This window comes from Homo sapiens, chromosome 6 (assembly GCF_000001405.40).
Source record: "Homo sapiens chromosome 6, GRCh38.p14 Primary Assembly".
NCBI lineage: Eukaryota > Metazoa > Chordata > Mammalia > Primates > Hominidae > Homo > Homo sapiens.
In genome coordinates, this window is record NC_000006.12 from 33,272,005 (window position 1) to 33,291,511 (window position 19,507).

At 51.8% G+C, this 19,507-nt stretch overlaps 4 protein-coding genes and 2 non-coding genes across 13 annotated transcripts, besides 5 other annotated features; 4 read left to right on the top strand and 2 right to left on the bottom strand.

Annotated features, from left to right (window-relative positions):
• Positions 1–70: 70 nt before the first annotated feature.
• RPS18 (ribosomal protein S18) lies at positions 71–4,507 on the top strand. Its single transcript, NM_022551.3, has 6 exons — positions 71–118; positions 624–722; positions 3,793–3,879; positions 3,961–4,062; positions 4,172–4,263; positions 4,387–4,507. The coding sequence occupies exons 1-6, from the start codon at positions 116–118 to the stop codon at positions 4,460–4,462; spliced, it is 459 nt and encodes a 152-aa protein (NP_072045.1). The 5' UTR covers positions 71–115; the 3' UTR covers positions 4,463–4,507.
• Positions 4,517–5,249: an enhancer, noted in NCBI's record as "H3K27ac-H3K4me1 hESC enhancer chr6:33244298-33245030 (GRCh37/hg19 assembly coordinates)". NCBI's record gives its function as "activates a minimal SCP1, AML or CMV promoter by ChIP-STARR-seq in naive H9 embryonic stem cells {active_cell/tissue: H9 hESC(naive)}" and the evidence as "EXISTENCE:reporter gene assay evidence [ECO:0000049][PMID:30033119]".
• Positions 5,119–6,821, top strand: B3GALT4 (beta-1,3-galactosyltransferase 4). Its single transcript, NM_003782.4, has one exon. The coding sequence runs from the start codon at positions 5,416–5,418 to the stop codon at positions 6,550–6,552; it is 1,137 nt and encodes a 378-aa protein (NP_003773.1). The 5' UTR covers positions 5,119–5,415; the 3' UTR covers positions 6,553–6,821.
• Positions 5,984–6,715: an enhancer, noted in NCBI's record as "H3K4me1 hESC enhancer chr6:33245765-33246496 (GRCh37/hg19 assembly coordinates)". NCBI's record gives its function as "activates a minimal SCP1, AML or CMV promoter by ChIP-STARR-seq in primed H9 embryonic stem cells {active_cell/tissue: H9 hESC(primed)}" and the evidence as "EXISTENCE:reporter gene assay evidence [ECO:0000049][PMID:30033119]".
• A 282-nt stretch (positions 6,822–7,103) lies between the features above and the next one.
• WDR46 (WD repeat domain 46) lies at positions 7,104–17,235 on the bottom strand. Of its 4 annotated transcripts, none has more exons than NM_001164267.2 (15): positions 17,098–17,235; positions 16,800–16,847; positions 16,610–16,690; positions 16,354–16,466; positions 16,144–16,231; positions 15,961–16,022; positions 15,610–15,714; positions 15,351–15,501; positions 15,087–15,222; positions 14,791–14,890; positions 8,670–8,983; positions 8,424–8,518; positions 7,760–7,855; positions 7,493–7,606; positions 7,104–7,370 (listed from the first exon to the last, which is right to left on the bottom strand). In NM_001164267.2, the coding sequence occupies exons 1-15, from the start codon at positions 17,164–17,166 to the stop codon at positions 7,272–7,274; spliced, it is 1,671 nt and encodes a 556-aa protein (NP_001157739.1). In that variant the 5' UTR covers positions 17,167–17,235; the 3' UTR covers positions 7,104–7,271. The 4 variants fall into 4 exon arrangements, with proteins under 4 accessions (NP_001157739.1, NP_005443.3, XP_047275479.1 ...); NM_005452.6 differs by having other exon boundaries at positions 16,800–17,009; XM_047419523.1 differs by lacking the exon at positions 8,670–8,983 and having other exon boundaries at positions 14,795–14,890; positions 16,800–17,009.
• MIR6873 (microRNA 6873) lies at positions 15,223–15,285 on the bottom strand. Its single transcript, NR_106933.1, has one exon. It is a non-coding gene; the product is annotated as a microRNA 6873 (primary transcript).
• Positions 15,228–15,761: an enhancer, noted in NCBI's record as "H3K4me1 hESC enhancer chr6:33255009-33255542 (GRCh37/hg19 assembly coordinates)". NCBI's record gives its function as "activates a minimal SCP1, AML or CMV promoter by ChIP-STARR-seq in naive H9 embryonic stem cells {active_cell/tissue: H9 hESC(naive)}" and the evidence as "EXISTENCE:reporter gene assay evidence [ECO:0000049][PMID:30033119]".
• Positions 15,762–16,295: an enhancer, noted in NCBI's record as "H3K4me1 hESC enhancer chr6:33255543-33256076 (GRCh37/hg19 assembly coordinates)". NCBI's record gives its function as "activates a minimal SCP1, AML or CMV promoter by ChIP-STARR-seq in naive H9 embryonic stem cells {active_cell/tissue: H9 hESC(naive)}" and the evidence as "EXISTENCE:reporter gene assay evidence [ECO:0000049][PMID:30033119]".
• Positions 16,830–17,363: an enhancer, noted in NCBI's record as "H3K27ac-H3K4me1 hESC enhancer chr6:33256611-33257144 (GRCh37/hg19 assembly coordinates)". NCBI's record gives its function as "activates a minimal SCP1, AML or CMV promoter by ChIP-STARR-seq in naive H9 embryonic stem cells {active_cell/tissue: H9 hESC(naive)}" and the evidence as "EXISTENCE:reporter gene assay evidence [ECO:0000049][PMID:30033119]".
• On the top strand, positions 17,193–18,930 carry PFDN6 (prefoldin subunit 6). Of its 5 annotated transcripts, none has more exons than XM_047418077.1 (5): positions 17,193–17,276; positions 17,766–17,916; positions 18,170–18,240; positions 18,322–18,446; positions 18,712–18,930. In XM_047418077.1, the coding sequence occupies exons 2-5, from the start codon at positions 17,853–17,855 to the stop codon at positions 18,839–18,841; spliced, it is 390 nt and encodes a 129-aa protein (XP_047274033.1). In that variant the 5' UTR covers positions 17,193–17,276; positions 17,766–17,852; the 3' UTR covers positions 18,842–18,930. The 5 variants fall into 5 exon arrangements, with proteins under 5 accessions (XP_047274033.1, NP_001252525.1, NP_055075.1 ...); NM_001265596.1 differs by lacking the exon at positions 17,193–17,276 and adding an exon at positions 17,593–17,616; NM_014260.4 differs by lacking the exon at positions 17,193–17,276 and adding an exon at positions 17,597–17,624 and having other exon boundaries at positions 18,712–18,929.
• Positions 18,241–18,321, top strand: MIR6834 (microRNA 6834). The gene has a single exon (NR_106892.1). It is a non-coding gene; the product is annotated as a microRNA 6834 (primary transcript).
• Positions 18,931–19,507: the final 577 nt, after the last annotated feature.

Below are 19,507 nucleotides of genomic sequence, written 5' to 3' on the forward strand. Positions count from 1 at the left end.
AAGCACTTCTCCTAGATCGCACCGCCTCTTCCTCCTGGAAGCTATATAATGATATCGCGTCACTTCCGCTCTCTCTTCCACAGGAGGCCTACACGCCGCCGCTTGTGCTGCAGCCATGGTAAGACTGGAATCCGTGCCGTGATCCAGCGGCATCGCAGCTCGGGCAAGGAAAGCCGGCTGTCAGGGTTCTGGAAACGTCCTGCCCTGAGGGCCTGCGACTTTCTGTATGGAGCCTTGGATCGCGTCCCTGGAAAGGGACACCAAAGATTTCCAATTCCGGAGAGCGGGCCCGAGGAAGGGTCACTGCTCGGGCGCACGAAAGCTGTCTAAGGCTTGGGCGTATATGGGGAACTCTGGCTTTTGCCACGCACTTTTGGGAATGGGCAGGAGACCTGCTTCCTCTCTCCAGAGGTTGCATTTTCCCAAGCTTGAACGCTTCATGTGCCTACTCTGCAGGACTGAGGAGTTTGCTCTGTGGTGTGAAAACCTAAGGAATGGGGGGCGGGTGTCTTGCCACTTGTGTGACAGGCTTAACCTTTTTGTATGAAGTTCGTTTGCCTTATCGGCCTTACTGTTTGATAGTTTACTGTGTCTGATTTCTTCCCCCGTACTTTTTCAACTAGTCTCTAGTGATCCCTGAAAAGTTCCAGCATATTTTGCGAGTACTCAACACCAACATCGATGGGCGGCGGAAAATAGCCTTTGCCATCACTGCCATTAAGGTAAGTGAAGTAGGGTAAGGAATAGGGAATGTAAATGAGAATTGGGTTGTGAAGACATAAGCAAAAATGAAGCAAGGCTGGGGAGACTTGAGTCTCATCCAGATCACCTTGACTGCTGGATTAAGAAAAGAAAGTGGTTTAGGGAGAGACTGACCCCTTTAGCATTTACCACAGAAAATAAGTGATTAAAGCCAAGATAGTGGTCTAAGGTCAAGCCAAAACATTTCACCTGGGGAAGTGGGGAGGAGGTATGGTTGCTCACCCGAATTCGCTAAGATTTTCCTGAACCACGAGCTTGTGAGATTTCTTCTAGATTCGGTTTCTTTACCCATCCCACCATCATAACAGCAACCCTTCCTGCGAAATTTATATTCCCTGAGAATTGGAGGATTATTGGGCATCTTGAGGGATAAGTAGAAATACCAACAGATAAAAAGTGTGAAGAAGCCTGTAGATGGAGGGTGGAAGAAGTCTGAGTGGGACATTTACTCAGATGAGCCATAATTGACACTCCTTTCCTGTCGAAGTGTGAAGGAGTACATCCATCTTTCTTTGGCTTTTAAGAATCGAATCAATGAATGCAAGAATATTATTTCACTTGAGTATTTCTCTCCACAAACCTAATGAATTCTTGGCTTTCTAGATACATAACGTTCTTTTTTTTTCCCTTAAGTCAGAATGTGTAGTTAGTTGTGGAAATAGCCTACCAGTATGTGTCCATGCGTGCAGGGCTAGGCCTGTCTTCTTGGCTTCTGTTGCATGGTAGGTACTTAGGCGACGTTAGGGAATGGATAGTAGTAGGGATACTGTTGGCTCTGTTGAGGAATTTGTAGAGGGAAATTCCTTCTGTTGGGTGCTCTGTGAAACTAATAAGGCAGTGTGAAATACTGTACTTATTTCAGAGACCGGCTGTGAGGCTTAAGTAGAGGTGCAGCATTCATAAGTGTAATAGAGAATAACCTTCATGGATGTATCTAACTAAAAATTAGAAATCTTATTTCATCTATATCTCTTCCCACACCCATTTTGAAGTAAATCTTTTCACTTGTAAACATATAATTAAATTTGAGGCTTAGTGCAGTGGCTCACTCGGAGGCTGAAGTGGGCGGATCCCCTGAGGTCAGGAGTTCGAGACCAGCCTGGTCAACATGGTGAAACCTCGTCATTTAATTAATAAATTTGAAAGACCCTGCTCTCTTCTGAATCAACCTAATAATTTGACCCTTGGTCATGTTTATTTATTTATCCCGAGACAGAGTCTCACCCCGTCACCCAGGCCGGAGTGCAATGGTGCAATCTTATCTCACTGCAACCTCAGCCTCCCAAGTAGCTGAGATTACAGGCACACGCCCAGCTAATTTTTGTATTTTTAGAAGAGATGGGGTTTCACCATGTTGGTCAAACTGGTCTTAAACTTCTGACCTCAGGTGATCCACCCACCTCAGCCTCCCAAAGTGCTGGGATTATAGGCGTGAGCCACTGCACCCAGCCACATTTATTTTTTGAGACTGTCGCCCAGGCTGGAGTGGCGGAATCACTCTTCACTGCAGCCTCGACCTCCAGGGCTCAAGTCAATCCTCCTACCTCAACTTTCCAAGTAGTTGGGGCTACAGGTGTGCACCACCACATCTGGCTAATCTGGATCTTGCTGTGTTGTCCAGGCTGGTCTTGAACTCCTGGGCTCAGTGATCCTCCAGCCTCAGCCTCCTAAAGTGCTGGGATTACAGGCATATAGGCATGAGCCACGGTGAAGCCAACCCTTGATCTCTTTCTTGCAGATAGGAACTGCCATTTGTTTTAGTTTCCTGGAGCCTACTGTAACAAGTTCATATAAACTAAGCAGAAAATTACTCTTGGCGCTGGAGGCACTTAAGAATCCTACCTTGCCTCTTCCTGTCTTCTGGTGGTTGTCAGTAATCCTTAGTGTTCCTTGGCTTGTAGCTGCATTACTCCAATCTGTTGCTGTCATCTCATGGTCCTCTTCGTGTCTCTCTCATGATTTGTCATTGGATCTAGAGCCCACCCTAATCAAATATAACGTCATTTTACCTAATTATTTCCGTAACGACCTTATTTCCAAATAGGGCCACATTCTGATGTTCTAGTTGGACAAAATGAGGGGCAGGGCTCAGTATTCAGTTCCTCCTTCACTCTCCAAATCACTTTGGTTCATGAGTTCAGATGGCATGGGTGCTAGTGCTGGTGTTGATGTGATGCTACCAATGTAAGCATTAGTTTCTTTTTATAATAACTTGGGCAGTCAGTTCTGGGCACTGACAAAATTGAGTTTGTGATCTTGGAATACTTTGATTATGGGGATACAGTGATTTGCCTAAATAATTGTGACCCTTAGAGATTCTGAGGAACTGACAGCCCAATACCTTAATCAAAGCCTGTAACTCATAAGACCCTGGTTTACTGCATCAGCTTGGAGTGGCAGGCCCCTTGTTCTCCTAAATGCAAGAATCAGAAGGCACTTAGTGACAACTACATATGCTGAGCAATGGGGGAAAAAAAAGATACTGCCTGCTTTCAAAGGGTTGTCTGTAATACTAAATTCTGTGTTCATGATTCAGTCATACCCCTGAACAAAGTTACTTTTTTCTTTTTTTGAGACGGGGTCTCACTGTCGCCCAGGTTAGAGTGTGGTTGCGTGATCTTGGCTTGCTGCAACCTCCACCTCCTAGGTTCAAGCTATTCTGCTGCAGCCTCCCAAGTAGCTGGGATTACAGGCACCTGCCACCATGCTCAGCAACTTTTCTTGTATTTTTAGTAGAGACAGGGTTTCACCATGTTGGCCAGGCTGGTTTTGAACTCCTGCCCTCAATGTCATCTGCCCACTTGGGCCTCCCAAAGTGCTGGGATTACAGGCGTGAGCCACTGCGACCGGCCCAAAGTTAACCTTCTGTCGAACGGTTTATATCTGGAAAGGTGGGTGAGGAAAGGGTGACCTAGGGGATTGCAAAATAGATTATTGCAGATCCTACCTTTGTGAGCTTTTTGAATGAGGCTATAAAGGAATTTAAAAATCAGATTCAACACTAATTCCGAAACCCCTCACTTCATTCAGGGTGTGGGCCGAAGATATGCTCATGTGGTGTTGAGGAAAGCAGACATTGACCTCACCAAGAGGGCGGGAGAACTCACTGAGGATGAGGTGAGGACAAGGAAGGGGGCTGGGGGTGGGGTCAGCCTCAGAAAGGGGTCCATCTAGATCTGACCTTGGTCTGCCTGCCAGGTGGAACGTGTGATCACCATTATGCAGAATCCACGCCAGTACAAGATCCCAGACTGGTTCTTGAACAGACAGAAGGATGTAAAGGATGGAAAATACAGCCAGGTGTGTACTGAAATGAGGGCAGGATTAGAGGAAGGGTGGAGGGTCCTAACAGAATTGGGCATAGGAGGTCAGGGGATAAAACATCCCTTGCCCCCTCCTCTGAATCCAGGTCCTAGCCAATGGTCTGGACAACAAGCTCCGTGAAGACCTGGAGCGACTGAAGAAGATTCGGGCCCATAGAGGGCTGCGTCACTTCTGGGGGTGAGTGGGGGGTCTCATCTCCCTGCCTACCTCGACTCAGCATTCCTCCTACTCGCTCTTCTTTTTCCCCAACCTTTTGTTTCTGCTGTGCATGACCTGTGACTCTTCTCTTTTTACCTGCAGCCTTCGTGTCCGAGGCCAGCACACCAAGACCACTGGCCGCCGTGGCCGCACCGTGGGTGTGTCCAAGAAGAAATAAGTCTGTAGGCCTTGTCTGTTAATAAATAGTTTATATACCTATGGCTTCCTGTCCTTTCTGTCCATTCTAATAGGGAATGTTAAAGTGCTGGGTCCTTTTTCCATTTAGAGCTGCCCTACTCAGTTGCCCACACAGTGCTATTAGTTTTAGCAGTGGTGATGCTGCAGACCCCCCAGTCTCCCTATATGTAGCTAGTGATGTCCCTCTCTGTAAAGAGAAATGTGAGGGTAAAACAGTTCAGCCTTGAGGGGCTGACCCAGACCAGTTTAGAGACCAACACCCTGGGGTTGGTGTGCAGCATCATTGTGGAGTGGGTTAGCTGAGCCTAGCCAGTTGCAGTTAAGGTGAGTTTGCAGGTCTTGGTCACTCTGGGTTTTTTTGTTTTTGTTTTTGTTTTCTTTTAAGGGGTCATCTAGTCATAAGGGAAAATCCTTCGGGCTGTGACCGAAGCAACAAAGGCAAAAACGCGGACGTTGGTTATGAAGGGTGTGGTCTCCCTGGTGGAGTACGTCGGTGGGTTGGGATGGGGAGCGGCTGGACAGACCGGTCTCACTCCGTTTGGTGCCACTCCACCCGCCCGGGTTTCCGCGCCCTGCCGCGCTGCTCCGACGCCGCTTCCGGCGGGGATGGGAGCGCGCAACGCGGAAGCGGGCGGCAGACCGGCCGCCGGGGCGAGGCGGGGGAGGGGCCGTGAGTGCCGCAGTCGGCCAGCCATGGAGCGGAGCTTGCTGGCGGCGAGGCCGCGGCGACAAGGTAGCCACCCCCGCAGCATGCCTCGACCGCGGTCCGCAGCTGCACCGCCTCTCCCCGCCCCCCAGGGTGCGCTGGTCCCGGTCGCGCGCTCAGACCTCCGCATCCCGGGCGTGGTCGGTTAAGTCCCCGGCCGTGACCCAGGCCCGGGGAGCTAGTCTCCGCCCTTCGCTCTTACGGATCCCCTCGGAGTACGCCGCACCATGCAGCTCAGGCTCTTCCGGCGCCTCCTTCTCGCCGCTTTGCTGCTGGTGATCGTCTGGACCCTCTTCGGGCCTTCGGGGTTGGGGGAGGAGCTGCTGAGCCTCTCACTAGCCTCCCTGCTCCCAGCCCCCGCCTCACCGGGGCCGCCCCTGGCCCTGCCCCGCCTCTTGATCCCCAACCAGGAAGCTTGCAGTGGTCCCGGGGCCCCTCCCTTCCTGCTCATCCTGGTGTGCACGGCTCCGGAGAACCTGAACCAGAGAAACGCCATTCGGGCTTCGTGGGGCGGGCTGCGCGAGGCCCGGGGGCTCAGGGTACAGACGCTATTCTTGCTGGGAGAGCCGAACGCACAGCACCCCGTGTGGGGTTCCCAGGGGAGTGACCTGGCCTCGGAGTCAGCAGCCCAGGGGGATATCTTGCAGGCCGCCTTCCAGGACTCCTACCGCAACCTCACCCTAAAGACCCTCAGCGGGCTGAACTGGGCTGAGAAACACTGCCCCATGGCCCGATACGTCCTCAAGACGGACGATGATGTGTATGTCAACGTCCCTGAACTGGTATCAGAGCTGGTCTTGCGAGGGGGCCGTTGGGGGCAATGGGAGAGAAGCACGGAACCCCAGAGAGAGGCTGAGCAGGAAGGAGGCCAGGTTTTGCACAGCGAGGAAGTGCCTCTTCTGTACTTGGGCCGGGTGCACTGGCGCGTGAACCCCTCTCGGACACCGGGGGGCAGGCACCGCGTATCAGAGGAGCAGTGGCCTCACACCTGGGGCCCCTTTCCACCCTATGCCTCAGGCACGGGGTATGTGCTGTCAGCGTCTGCTGTGCAGCTCATTCTCAAGGTGGCCAGCCGGGCACCCCTTCTCCCATTAGAGGATGTCTTTGTGGGGGTAAGTGCCCGACGAGGAGGCCTCGCCCCAACACAGTGTGTCAAGCTGGCTGGTGCCACCCACTACCCGCTAGACCGGTGCTGCTATGGGAAATTCCTGCTGACGTCCCACAGGCTGGACCCCTGGAAGATGCAGGAAGCCTGGAAGCTGGTGGGTGGCTCTGACGGGGAAAGGACTGCGCCCTTTTGCTCCTGGTTCCAGGGAGTCCTGGGCATCCTGCGGTGTCGAGCAATAGCCTGGCTTCAGAGCTGAGAGTGCCTGGGGCCACAGGAAAGGCAGGAACAGGACCTTCTCTCTCCCAGGCCCAACGCAGGGGCCCTCACTGGCTGCAGCTGATCTGTTTCCTTATACCAGATCCTCAGTCTCACTAAAGACAGCGATATGGGAGACACCCAGGGGCCTGGCCCGCCAGCCCAAAAGATGGTCATCGGGAAGAGAAAAAGAAAAAAATGCTGCAGTTGTTCTCTCAAGCTAGGGCAGAAGAGGGGTGTCAAGCTCCTCAATAAACTTGTCTCCACTTCTTCGAGTGCAGTGTGGTCTTCACCAGGACCCCCAGAACACCACAAACCTGGAGAGCCCAGAGGCTGCCAGACCCTGCTGCATGGGAAGGACATCTCCAGGGACATGGGAGAGAGGACAGCCTCTCTGAGGAGGAAGGCCCCTAAAAGGCAAAGCTAAGGCCACAGCAGCCACAAGGTATGGGGTGGGGGTAGAGGCAGGACACTGACCCCTCCGATCCTAGAATGGCCTCATGCTTGGCAAGGGGGAGGGGAACAGGTCCACAAGATGATCCAGACACATTATCCAAAAAATCGCTTTCCTCTTTAATACCAACCCACCCCAGGAGACAGCTGTCCACCCCCAGTTGGGGAAGGGGCCACACTGCCCCCACCTCCTTGTTCCAGGGAACACTCATTTCCCTACAGGTGATCTTGGGGAGAGACTGTTCCCAGGCAACCCTGGAGTCTGGCTCAGCGCACAAATCTGTCCAGGGCAGATGGCCGGGCCCCCGTGGGCTTGGCCTTCGCCTCCTTATGATGCTGCTGCTGAAGGCTCTGCCGGACCTTGTCCTGGGGACCGGAGACGGGGAGGACACAGGCACAGAGTGAGAAGTGGCAGGCTGACAAGGGCAGAGGCACAAGCAGGAGGGTGCAGCCTGTGGAAGGCCCGGCCCATGCCAATGCTCATTTACCCTGTGTTCCTCATCCATGACCTTCCTCTTCCTCTTCACCAGGCTTGCCGTGGAGCTGCGGCCCTTCTGCTTTGGCTTTGGCTGGAAGGGAGCCTTAGCCTGCGGGTCATAGCCCTGAGGGAGGGGACAGGAGTGATATCTGTTACAGCCTCGGAGTCAGGGAACTGGCAGCACCCACCTGCTGGCCGCACTTCTGGGGACAAGCCATGGTGGGGAGAGGATGTGGGGGAGAAGACGGGCCTGGGCATTCAGGGGCCTGCTCCATACCAGCCTCTCTATCTGCTCCTTCTTTCCCTGCTCCAGGGAGATGACATCCACCTCGGCCAGGGCTCGTGGGTCCAGACAAATAAGCTCTGCAGGTACCTGGGGGTGTCACAGAGGGACAGGACTCAGCAAGGAGCCACAGGAGGGTAGCACCAAAAAGAGAAGCCAGGGAGGCTGCTGAACCCCTCTACCCAAGACCCCCAGCATGAGACATCAGGAGAGCTTTCTCTACCTCCAACCCCAAACCACACCTTCCCCAGCAGCAGGGGCCTCACTCTCTGCAGCAGGGGAACCTCACCTCCAACAGGGGCAATCTCACCCTCTCCAGCAGGGGGGAACCTGACCCTCTCCAGGAGAGGGAATTTCACCCTCTCCAGCAGAGGGAAACCTGACCCTCTCCAGCAGGGGGAATCTCACCCTCTCCAGCAGAGGGAAACCTGACCCCGTCCAGGAGAGGGGAATCTCACCCTCTCCAGGAAGAGGAAACCTTACCTTCTCCAGCAGGGGGGAACCTGACCTTCTCCAGCAGTGGGGAACCTGACCTTCTCCAGCAGGGGGGAACCTGACCTTCTCCAGGAAGGAGGAACCTCACCCTCTCCAGGACGGGGGAACCTGACCCTCTCCAGCAATGGGGGGGATCTCACCCTCTCCAGCAGGGGAGCCTCACCTTCTCTAGCAGGGCCTTCACCTCCCACTCCTGGCGCTGCTTCCGGCTTCTGTATGGATTACTCTCCAGGCCATCGAAGTTGGGCTCACCGGCCCCTGAAGGGAGGGAGGGAGAAGCATGGAGCCATAAGGAAGAACCTCAGTCCAACAGCTCCAGCCCAACTAAGCCCCCAGTTCCTGGATGTCTCTGGCCCAAACTTCCACCCAGAGTTCATTCACTTCAAGCCCCATCCCCTGGCCCACTCACCAGGGACCAGCATGCTGGTGATGCCCCCAGTGTGCCCCACCCCCAGCACATCTTCAAAGGGGCAGAACTGAAGGCCATGCACAGGGCCTGAGAGCCGGTGGGTGAGGTAGGGCTGTTCAAGGGAGGGTGGGCTGGCCTTGCCCTGCCCTGCCCAGATGTTGACAACGTCACCCATTCCCGCCACCAGCAGTCCCCTCTGGGAGAAGGCCAGGTGCCCTGCTCCATGGGGCAGGGTCCGAGTGCTCAGAGGCTGGTACGTCCCTCGCAAGTCAAAGATCTTCAGCTGGTGGTCTAGGCCAGAGGTGGCCATGTACCTGGTGAGAGAAGAGGGATCAATTAATATGTCAGTAAATGGGTTTACCAAGCAAGCTGTGGCCAAGTCCAGGCATCAAGTCTGGCTGGGGAGAAAAAGATTAATAGTAATAACCACTGCCATCACCCTGAACACTCCACAGGCATCCTCTCAGTTAAGCTGCACACAACTCATACTATTTTTATTTCCCTTTAAGAGGTGAGGAAACTGAAGCTCAGGGAAAGGAAAGCTAGGTCAGTGAATGGTCAGGCCTGTCTCTTTAGCATCTGCCTCTAACCTGCTAACACCACACAGCCCTCTCAAGACACGGGCGTCAAAAGGAACGCCCACACGACAGGCTGCACCCAAATGTGATGTCCCCCTGTACACACATGCAGCACACAGCCCAGCAAGGGGAAGGAGCATGTGCAGTGGTCAGAAAGGCTTCATGGGAAAGGTGGGATTTGAGCCATTCTAGATAATTCTCAAAAAATTACAGGAAGTAGATACACAGCAGGTTCAAATGCATTAACACCAGAGTGTTGAGACTGAGAGGGAAGCAGAGGTTTGTTAGGATTGGTGGGAAACATGGTCAGGAAAATCAGGAGCAGACAATTTGTGAGGTTTCTTTAAAGTCAGACTGAGGACCCACAGCTCATGATCCCAACATTGCTCTCTGGCAGTGACAAATCACAAAGTGAAGGCTCCAAGGACTTGAGAAGACCTACTCAGGGAAGTGGTGAAGTAATGCACTGGAGGCCCTTGCCCTGCCCCTCTGTGTGCTTTCCCTGGAAGGAAGGAGGGAAGGTTGGTGACCAAATCCTCTCCAGGAATCATGTACTGCATAAGTTGTTTACTTTCAGAAGTTGGAGTTCCTTTTCTTTTTTTGAGACAGGGTCTCTCTGTTGCCCAAGCTGGAGTGCAGTGGCATGACCCTGGCTCACTGCAGCCTCTGCCTCCCTGGTTCAAGTGATTCTCGTGCCTCAGCCTCCCAAGTAGCTGGGATTACAGGCATGCGCCACCACCGCTAATTTTTAGTAGAGCCAGGGTTTCGCCATGTTGACCACGCTGGTCTTGAACTCCTGGCCTCAAATGACCTGCCCACCTTGGCCTCCCAGAGTGCTGGGATTACAGGTGAGGTTGGAGTTTCTATGTTCAAGTTGTTCCTTAGAGAGGGAAGCTGAAGGGGGACCAGCCAGGTAGGGGATGTATGTTTGCCAAGAGGCCAAGGAGTCTCTTTTTTGCCTTGGCTGTGAACCCAGGAGAAGGGAACTGAAGAGTTCTTATGAGCAGAGACTTGCACAGTGATGGAGCCCAAGAGAGGACCAGCTGGATACTTCCGACAAGATAATCAGCGCCCTGACTTTACCAAAGAGAAAGGCCATCAGTGCAAACCAGGAATTACCGAGCGCTCGTGGAACACAGGGTCACATCCTTTGGTGAACTAACAACTCAAGGATGCATGCTGGCTCTTCTCCCCTCCACACACCCATCTATGGGACCCCTGGGTAAAGACCAGCCCAGTGCCAAATGGGAGTCTACTGTACTACTAGTAAGCAGCAGTTCGGCTTTGAGAAGTCAACGCAATCCAATCATAATACAAGCTACCAGAACACCTCTTAAGAAAGATGGTCAGCCTCATCACTGGAGCCCCCGTGGCCTGACAAGCTCCTGAGGAGGACCAGAGAAAAGCAGGGATGGGCTGAAGATCACAAGGACCAGAGCTGTTTAGCCTCAAGGTGTTGATTAAACTTCAGGCCTCAGCGAACTAGTGATTAAGCCCTAAGCACAGGAGTGGCTGACCCAGGTAGCCCACGGAGGGCAAGCTACAGCTTTGGCCCAGTGGCCCAGAGAGGGCAGAAACCCTTGGGCAGGCCTTCTGACTCTCCTAGAGCCAGGCTGGTATAAATATGGAGTAAAAAGGGCAGAACCAAATCACTCATTCACAAAGATACAATTACAAAGGCCAGACACGGTGGCTCACGCCTATAATCCCAGCACTTTGGGAGGACAGGCGGGTGGATCACAAGGTCAGGAGTTCAAGACCAGCCTGGCCAACATGGTGAAATTCCATCTGTACTACAAATACAAAAATTAGCCGGGTGTGGTGGCACACACCTGTAGTCCCAGCTTCTCAGGAGGCTGAGGCAGGAGAATCGCTTGAACCCAGGAGGTGGAGGTTGCAGTGAGCCGAGACCACACCATTGCACTCCAGCCTGGGTGACAGAGTGAGACTCCGTCTCAAAAAAAAAAGATACAATTATGCAAAAACAGGGAGCGGGTGGTGGGGGGGGTGGTCCCAGCATCCTGGAGACTTTGAATAAGCTGGTGGCCAAGCTGGATGTGGTGGCTCACAGTAATTACTCTGTAATCCCAGTACTTTGGGAGGTTGAGGTAGGAGGACCGCTTGAGCCCAGGAGTTCAAGACAGAGACCAGCCTGGGCTACATGGTGAAACCCCATCTCTACAAAAAATAGAAAAATTATCCAGGTGTGGTGGTGTGTACCTGAGTCAAATTCTGGGTGACAGGAAAATTCTGGGAGATGAGAGCAGGTCAAGAGAAACTTTAGGAGGCGGTGACCTATCCAGTGATGGACACATTGAGTCTGGGATGACAGAGGATAACTGTGTAGAAACTAATGGCATCACCTGAGCTAGGCGTGGTGGCTCATGCCTGTAATCCCAGCACTTTGGGAGGCCGAGGTGGGTGGATCACCTGAGGTCAGGAGTTTGAGACCAGCCAAGCCAACATGGCAAAACCCCATCTCTACTAAAAATACAAAAATTAGCGCATGCAGTGGCATGCACTTGTACTCCCAGCTACTTGGAGGCTGAGGCAGAACAATCACTTGAGCCTAGGAGGCGGAGGTTGTAATGAACCGAGATCGCGCCACTGCACTCCAGCCTGGGTGATAGATCAAGACTCCGTCTCGAAAAATAGTAATAAAATAAATAAATGCATCACCTGGCCAATCATTCTCAAAAACCATAGCCATGGCCGGGTGCAGTGGCTCACGCCTGTAATCCCAACACTTGCACTTTGGGAGGCCGAAGCAGGTGGATCACGATGTCAGGAGTTCAAGATCAGCCTGGCCAAGATGGTGAAACCCCATCTCTACTAAACATTAAAAAATTAACTGGGCGTGGTTCGTGGGCGCCTGTAATCCCAGCTACTCAGGAGGCTGAGGCAGGAGAATCGCTTGAACCCCGGGGGGCAGAGGTTGTGGTGAGCTGAGATTGTGCCACTGCACTCCAGCCTGGGTGACAGATCAAGACTCTGTCTCAAAAAAAAAAAAAAAATAGCCACAAGTTTTTATACCTAAAGGATAACGGGAGCACCACACCAGGGCAGGCTCAACGATTCATCCTTTTGTCTCCAGAACCTCAGCGCAGAGCCCTGCCCACAGCAGGTGCCCAGTGAATACCTGATGACAAAAGGAATCAGAGGAAAATACAAATCAGACAGAAAAGCTGTGGAAAATGCAGATACTCCCTCAGGAACAGCAGAAATCCAAAGCAGACACCACCTCCACCCCTCACATCAGCCAGACCTGGAGAGAACGATCATCTTGAATGACAATGATGAACACAGCGCTCCCTATTTTGCTAAGCGCTGTGCTAAACTATATGCCTTAACTCATCTTAATGTCTACAACAGCTTATATGAGGGCTTTAAACCAAGGCTTGGTAAACTACTGCCCATGGGCCAAACCTGGCCCATCATCTAGTTCTGTATAGCCCACAAGCCAAGAATGGTTTTTACATTTTTAAGTGGTTGAAAAAAAATCAAAAGAATATTTTGAGACTGTGAAAACCGTATGAAATTCAAATTCCAATATCCAACAAATAAAGTTTTATTGGAACGGGGCCACACTATTTACTTAATACTGTGGCTGCTTTTGCTCTACAACACACAGCCGAGTGGTCACGACAGCGACTACAGCATCCTGATTTGCACTGCTGCTTTGTACACTACAAGTCACAGTGACACAGTCGTAAGTGCTTCACAGCATTTCAAGCACCTCACATATCACCTATCATTACCTGTGTGAAAAGATGTTTTCAAAGATGAAATACTTGCAATCTCTACAGATCAGCATGAACATGAATATCTACAGTCAAATTTGACCATCTGGAACACTAACTTTGTACATCAATTAGGCAAAATGTTAACCTCAAAAAGAGAAATTCAGTTCTTCCCATTAGTAGATCTGTATTACACAAATATATTTGATTATTATTATTTTTTTTTTCTGAGACCGGGTCTCACTCTGTTGCCCATGCTAGAGTGCAGTGGCATGATCACAGCTCACTGCAGCCTTAACCTCCTGGGCTGAGGTGGGAGGATCACCTCAGCCTCCTGAGTAGCTGGGACTACAGGCATGCACCACCACACCCGGCTAATTTTTCTATCTTCTGTAGAGACAGAGTTTTGCCATGTCATGGGTGACATGGCTTGTTTCGAACTTCTGGGCTCAAGTGATCTGCCCACCTCAGCCTACCAAACTGTTAAGATTACAGGCATGAGCCACTGTGTCCAGTCTCATATTATGTTTTGTTTGTTTGTTTGTTTTTGAGACGGAGTTTTGCTCTTGTTGCCCAGGTTGGAGTGCAATGGCACAGTCTTGGCTCACTGCAACCCCTGCCTCCCAGGTTCAAGCAATTCTCCTGCCTCAGCCTCCCAAGTTGCCGGAATTACAGGCCCCCGCCACGACACCCGGCTAATTTTGTGAATTTTTAGTAGAGACAGAGTTTCGCCATGTTGGCCAGGCTGGTCTCAAACTCCTGACCTCAGGCGATCCACCCGCCTTGGCCTCCAAAGTGCTGGGATTACAGGCGTGAGCCACCGCACCTGGCCATATTACGTTTAATTTTATAACCTAAAAATGTGTGGGCCAGGCGCAGTGGCTCACGCCTGTAATCCCAACACTTTGGGAGGCCGAGGCGGGCAGATCATCTGAGGTCAGGAGTTCAAGACCAGCCTGGCCAACACAGTAAAACCCCGTCTCTACAAAAAAATACAAAATTAGCTGGGCATGATGGCAGGTGCCTGTAATCCCAGCTACTTGGGAGACTGAGGCAGGAGAATCGCTTGAATCTGGGAGGCGGAGGTTGCAGTGAGCCGAGATCACGCCACTGCACTCCAACCTGGGAGACAGAGCAAGACTACGTCTCTCTCAAAAGATTTAAAAAAAAAAAGGTCAGGCGCAGTGGCTCACGCCTATAATCCCAGCACTTTGGGAGGCTGAGGCGGGCAGATCACTTGAGGTCAGGAATTCGAGACCAGCCTGAACAACATGCTGAAACCCTGTCTCTACTAAAAATACAAAAATTAGCCAGGTGTTGTAGCAGGCGCCTGTAGTCCCAGATACTCGAGAGGCCAAGGCAGGAGAATCACTTGAACCTGAGAGGTGGAGGTTGCAGTGAGCTGAGATTGCGCCATTGCACTCCAGCCTGGGTGTCAGAGCGAGACTCCATCTCAAAAAAAAAAGTTGTGATAATTTGTTTTCTCTTGGTATTTAAATGCCTACATGGTACCCTTTGATTTTACCTCTTATCAGCAAATCATAAAATATTTACTATCTGACTCTTTACAGAAAAAGTTTGTGGACCCTTGAAATGGACACTCATATTTCCATTTTCGGGGTCAGGAAACTGTGGCACACAGAGGTTATGAAATATGCCTATACTTGCAAGGCCCATCCGTGGTAACACTGCGATTTAAACCTGGGCATCCTGGCTTTAGACTCTGTGCTCCTAAAGCACACTGCCTTCCACACCTTTCTGCCCACCTATGACTCCTAACACCTCACCCCACCAGTGACTTACGTGCCTGTAGAATCTACTGCCACAGCCCGGACCCCACCACGATGACAGAGAATCTTTGCCAGTGGCTCCTTCATAGCTGGACTCCATAAAGACACAGTACCTGGAAGAGAAGAAGAACCAAAGTTGCTAATACACACCTAAGCCTGAGGTTACTAAACATGGGAAAGATGGGAACTCAAGACCAAGAGATAACAAAAAAGGGAAATAAAAGGGTAACTTTAAGGGACTCATGAAGTACAAATATAGAAGAAAAGCAAGTCAGGATGGTCAGAGTCAAAACTAAGCCAGGTACTGACCATTGCTGTGTCCGAGATGGATGACGGCATTGTAAGGGTTCTGACTCATAACATCGAGCCGCCCAGCTCGAGCATTCAGAGCTGCCACAATCTTCCCCACTGACACATCCAGGTAGGTTAGAAACCCTGTTTCTGACTGAGAGAGAAAGACAGAGAGAATGACCCAGTCCTGATTGCCCTCTGTATTCCCTCTGCTGGGGTCCTAAAGGAGAGGTGGTCATCCCAAGGGCTTCCAACCAGTTCCTGAGCTCCATGGCCACTCACAGCTGTAGCCAGGAGGAAGTGGAAGGGCAGGAACTCAAGCCGTGTTACTCGGTCACAGCGGCGGATACAGTGGAGCTCAATGCCCTGATTGTCATAGATGTGGAGCCAGCGGTTCTGAGCAACAGCAAGCAGTGCCTCAGAATGGAGAAACCTGGGGGAGAGGAAGAGTGGTTCAATTGGGAAATGAGGTCACAGGCTATCATTCAATCAGGAATGGACTATCTCACCCCAACTGACCGCTGACAGTGAGGCCACTGACCGGATGTCCCGCACCGCCTCCATGACGTTGATCTCGCACATAAGCTTCTTTGTTACCCAATCAAGGGCAGCCACATGACCTCGGCGCCCTCCAAAAGCCAGGTGTCTGTTGGAGGTGAGGGGCAGGCAGGGTGTTAAGGCAGGGGACCACCGACTCAGACAACTTGAGGTCTGCCCCACGCCAGCCCCATCTCTCCAGGCGGGCAGACACATGTTGCTGTAGGTGCTTACCCTCACACCCAAGCAAATCGAAGGACCCTCCCCTCATCAGCAACCCAAACATACACTGGGAATGGCTGAAGTGGTTAAGGAAACACATCTTAGTTCAAGAGTCACTAGAATTCAACCTTACCTTCCAGTTCGAGAGTAGTTTAGTCTGTAGGGTCCAAACTGCCGCAGATTCAAGTCAAAGTGCTGGGAAAGAGAAGAGTGAAAAAAAAGAGTGCCCTGCAGTAACGCCTTCTTCTAGCCCCCATTCCTCTATTGTCCTGCACCACCAATCAATCCCTTGGCTCCTTTACCTCCTCAGGCTCACCTTGGCTGCACTTGCAATGTCCACAGCCTCCACAATGTCAGCCTGGCATATCTTTGCTGTGTCTTCCCCATCCTCCCCTTCCAGAAACCTGAAAGCAAGGGTTAGGATGGCAGTAAAGCTTCCCAATATGAAGCAAGTATACCAACATAAAAACGAGAAAAGACAGTCCCAAAAGGCAGGGAATGGGGGTCCAGATTAGGGCTCACTCACCCAGGTTCTTCAGCAAGCAGCAGCTCAGAACGAGCAGCTTTGATACTTGTTTCCTCTTCCTCAGCTTCAGCCACCTCAAGTCGGCTTCGAGTTTTGGCTTTAGAATGTGGTAGCTGTAACATTGTTGGTGGGGAGGAGTGGCAGAAGAACCACAGGATAAGTGGGGTCACAGGAGAGCTACCTGTCCCAGCCTCCATCCAACTCACCCAGACACTCCCTGCCTCCAGCACTTCCCAACTCTCCGGCTGGACCTCACCTTTCGGGATTTGTCAATGCGACAGAACTTCTGGACCACTTCCACAGGGACGGGGGCGGGGCCTGGGAATGGATCTTGGGTCTAGGGGAAAGGAGGACGCAATTAGCAGACAGCCTTGGATTGACCCCAACCCTCTCACTCTCAAGGAACGAGGCGGCCTGCCTCGCCACCCATCAGGTCCCACGCTCACCCCGGACAAGCCGCGCTGGGACTCCGGGTTCTTCCATTCTCGGGGTTTCTTCGGGACCTGAGGCTTCTTAGAGATCCGAGACTTCTTTAAGATGTAAGCATTTTTTGGTCTCTGAGGACGGAGCTCCCGATTCTTCTTGTTACGAGGAGGCCCTGGAGAGGCTCCGGCTGTGGTCGGAACGGTCTCTTCCTCCCAGTATCGCCGCGGTTTCTACAGGCACATCAGGAACTCCGCACTCACGCCCCGCCCCCCGACCCCACAGCTAAAAACTTCGTTTCCCACCCAGGGAGGCCTCTACCTTTCTCTTGGTCTGAAGTTTGTCTTTCTTGGGCGGGACATCCTTGCCCGGCTTGGGGGCTGTCTCCATCTCGCCCACCCGAACGGCGATCCACGTGCAAAACTCCTCTCAGCTGCCACACAGTCGGCTTGAAAACTCCCGGAAGCCCTCTGTCCTTCATCCAATCAGCAGCGTACCAGGTATGAAGCTCTCTAGGTGCCATCTTGAGTGAGGGCACGCTCTCCTTAGAGGGGCGGAACAGTTTTTGGCACCTTATCGCGAGCGGCAGCTTATGCAAGAGTGATTTAAAAAAGAAAGGCAGGTCCGGAGCCAGGGGCTAAGTAGCGGTGCGGTTTCTTTTTCTGGATTAGTTTCCCCATCTTGCCTAAAAATGTCCTAGTCTAGTCTTTTTAGCAGAACTCCACTCCCTAAACATGTCAGAACTACACTTCCCATCAAGGGTCAGAAAGAAACTTCCGGCACAGTCTTTTCCCAGCATTCCTTGTTTACTTCCGGGTTTATTACTACTGAAGGAAGAACGTGAGTAGGTTAGGATTTCGGTTGAGAGGCTTGGGGTCTTGCGTTTCGCCCACCATCTCCTGGGGACAGGGTGGAGTCGATATCCGGGACGGGGGGGAGGTTGCGGTGCCCCTCAGGGCTACCTCTCAAGAGTGCTATCATTTCCGCAGGCCAGATCAGAAAAGGGAGCTCAGGTACCTTCCAGAGAGTGAGACCCAGCGCCCTTGTCTCGCACCCAGTAGGCTTTCATCCCCGCCATGGCGGAGCTGATCCAGAAGAAGCTACAGGGAGAAGTGGAGAAATATCAACAGCTACAGAAGGGTAAGGGAACAGGGTCGGTATGGTCTCGCCCAATGCACTTACAACCCAAAGCCATTACCGAGATAAGGTTTGTTGCCCCATCTGGGCCCTCGCGTGCAGAGACTTCCCCGCCTCAGTCTCAGTACTCTTCCCTGTTCACTCACCCGCTGCCCCCATCCTTTTCTGCTTCCTCAGATCCATATCCACCTGACTAGGATTGTGGGGATAGGTGGCACATTTGATGTTTCTAAATTGCCTTTCCTCTCATCCCCAGACTTAAGTAAATCCATGTCGGGGAGGCAGAAACTTGAAGCACAACTAACAGAAAATAATATCGTGAAAGAGGTGAGGGACTGGGATTTGTGGGGCGAGGAGGGACCTGTACTAGCCATGGTTCTGATCACATATGTCCCATCCCTCCATCAGGAACTGGCCCTGCTGGATGGGTCCAACGTGGTCTTTAAACTTCTGGGTCCGGTGCTAGTCAAACAGGAGCTGGGGGAGGCTCGGGCCACAGTAGGGAAGAGGCTGGACTATATCACAGCTGAAATGTGAGTTTTTATTCCACCACCGTGTGCTGCACCCTGTGATGCAAGTGAACCATTGGAGTAGAGGTGTTGAACCATTGCAGAACAGCTCTCCATAGTGGCCCCTAGTCCTCCAGTTCCTCCAACCCTTTCCTTCCCTTTTAACCCCCCTTCTTCTCCCTCCCCTGGATCTCAAGTTTTCCACCTATCTCTTTCTTGCGTTTAGCACTCTCCATAGTGAGTCCTACTAATTTCTCCCTTTCTGCTTGTCTCCCTTGTCTCTCCTTAGTAAGCGATACGAATCCCAGCTTCGGGATCTTGAGCGGCAGTCAGAGCAACAGAGGGAGACCCTTGCTCAGCTGCAGCAGGAGTTCCAGCGGGCCCAGGCAGCAAAGGCAGGGGCTCCTGGCAAGGCCTGACCCCATGGTGGGGGGAGGGGAGGGGAGGGGAGGGAATGAGGCAGCTCTAGGATCTATACTGTAGCTAATAAAATGTAAAAACACCTGGCTCTGTTTCCTGACCAGGCACTTCTGTCATATCCCCACAGCCCCTTCCACCTTAACACACACCACCTGTATTACCCCCTCAGGTTCAAACTCTTGCACTTGGAATCTCTTTGTGGCACAGTGTTCTTTCTTGAAAGTGAAATCCTAAATGTCTTCAAACCTACTTCTTGCCTGTATATACAACCCTTAACTCTCCCTCATCTTGGTTGGCATGATTCTTTTGGAAGGGCATTTGCAACATACCATATTGCTAGGAATGTCGGTTTAATTGAAAAAGAATACACAGTTCTCTAACCTGAGGCCCCAGGATGAAATGTGGTTACCCTCCTTGCCAACAGCCCTGGCATCTCTATTAGTACTTTTCAGCCTCTGTCTTCCTAGAATTTGCTTGAATGTAGCTTTAAACTGACTTAAAATCCCAGCATGTAATGCTTTATGGTATTATAAGTCCTCCCAAGTTTATATGTTGTCCATAAAGTTGTTCTGCCATTTCCTTGTCCTAAAATTGTTTTATACACATTTGCAGCAAGGGACCAGTGGTAGAGAGGTTACTGGAGAGAAACTGTTCTGAGGAAACTT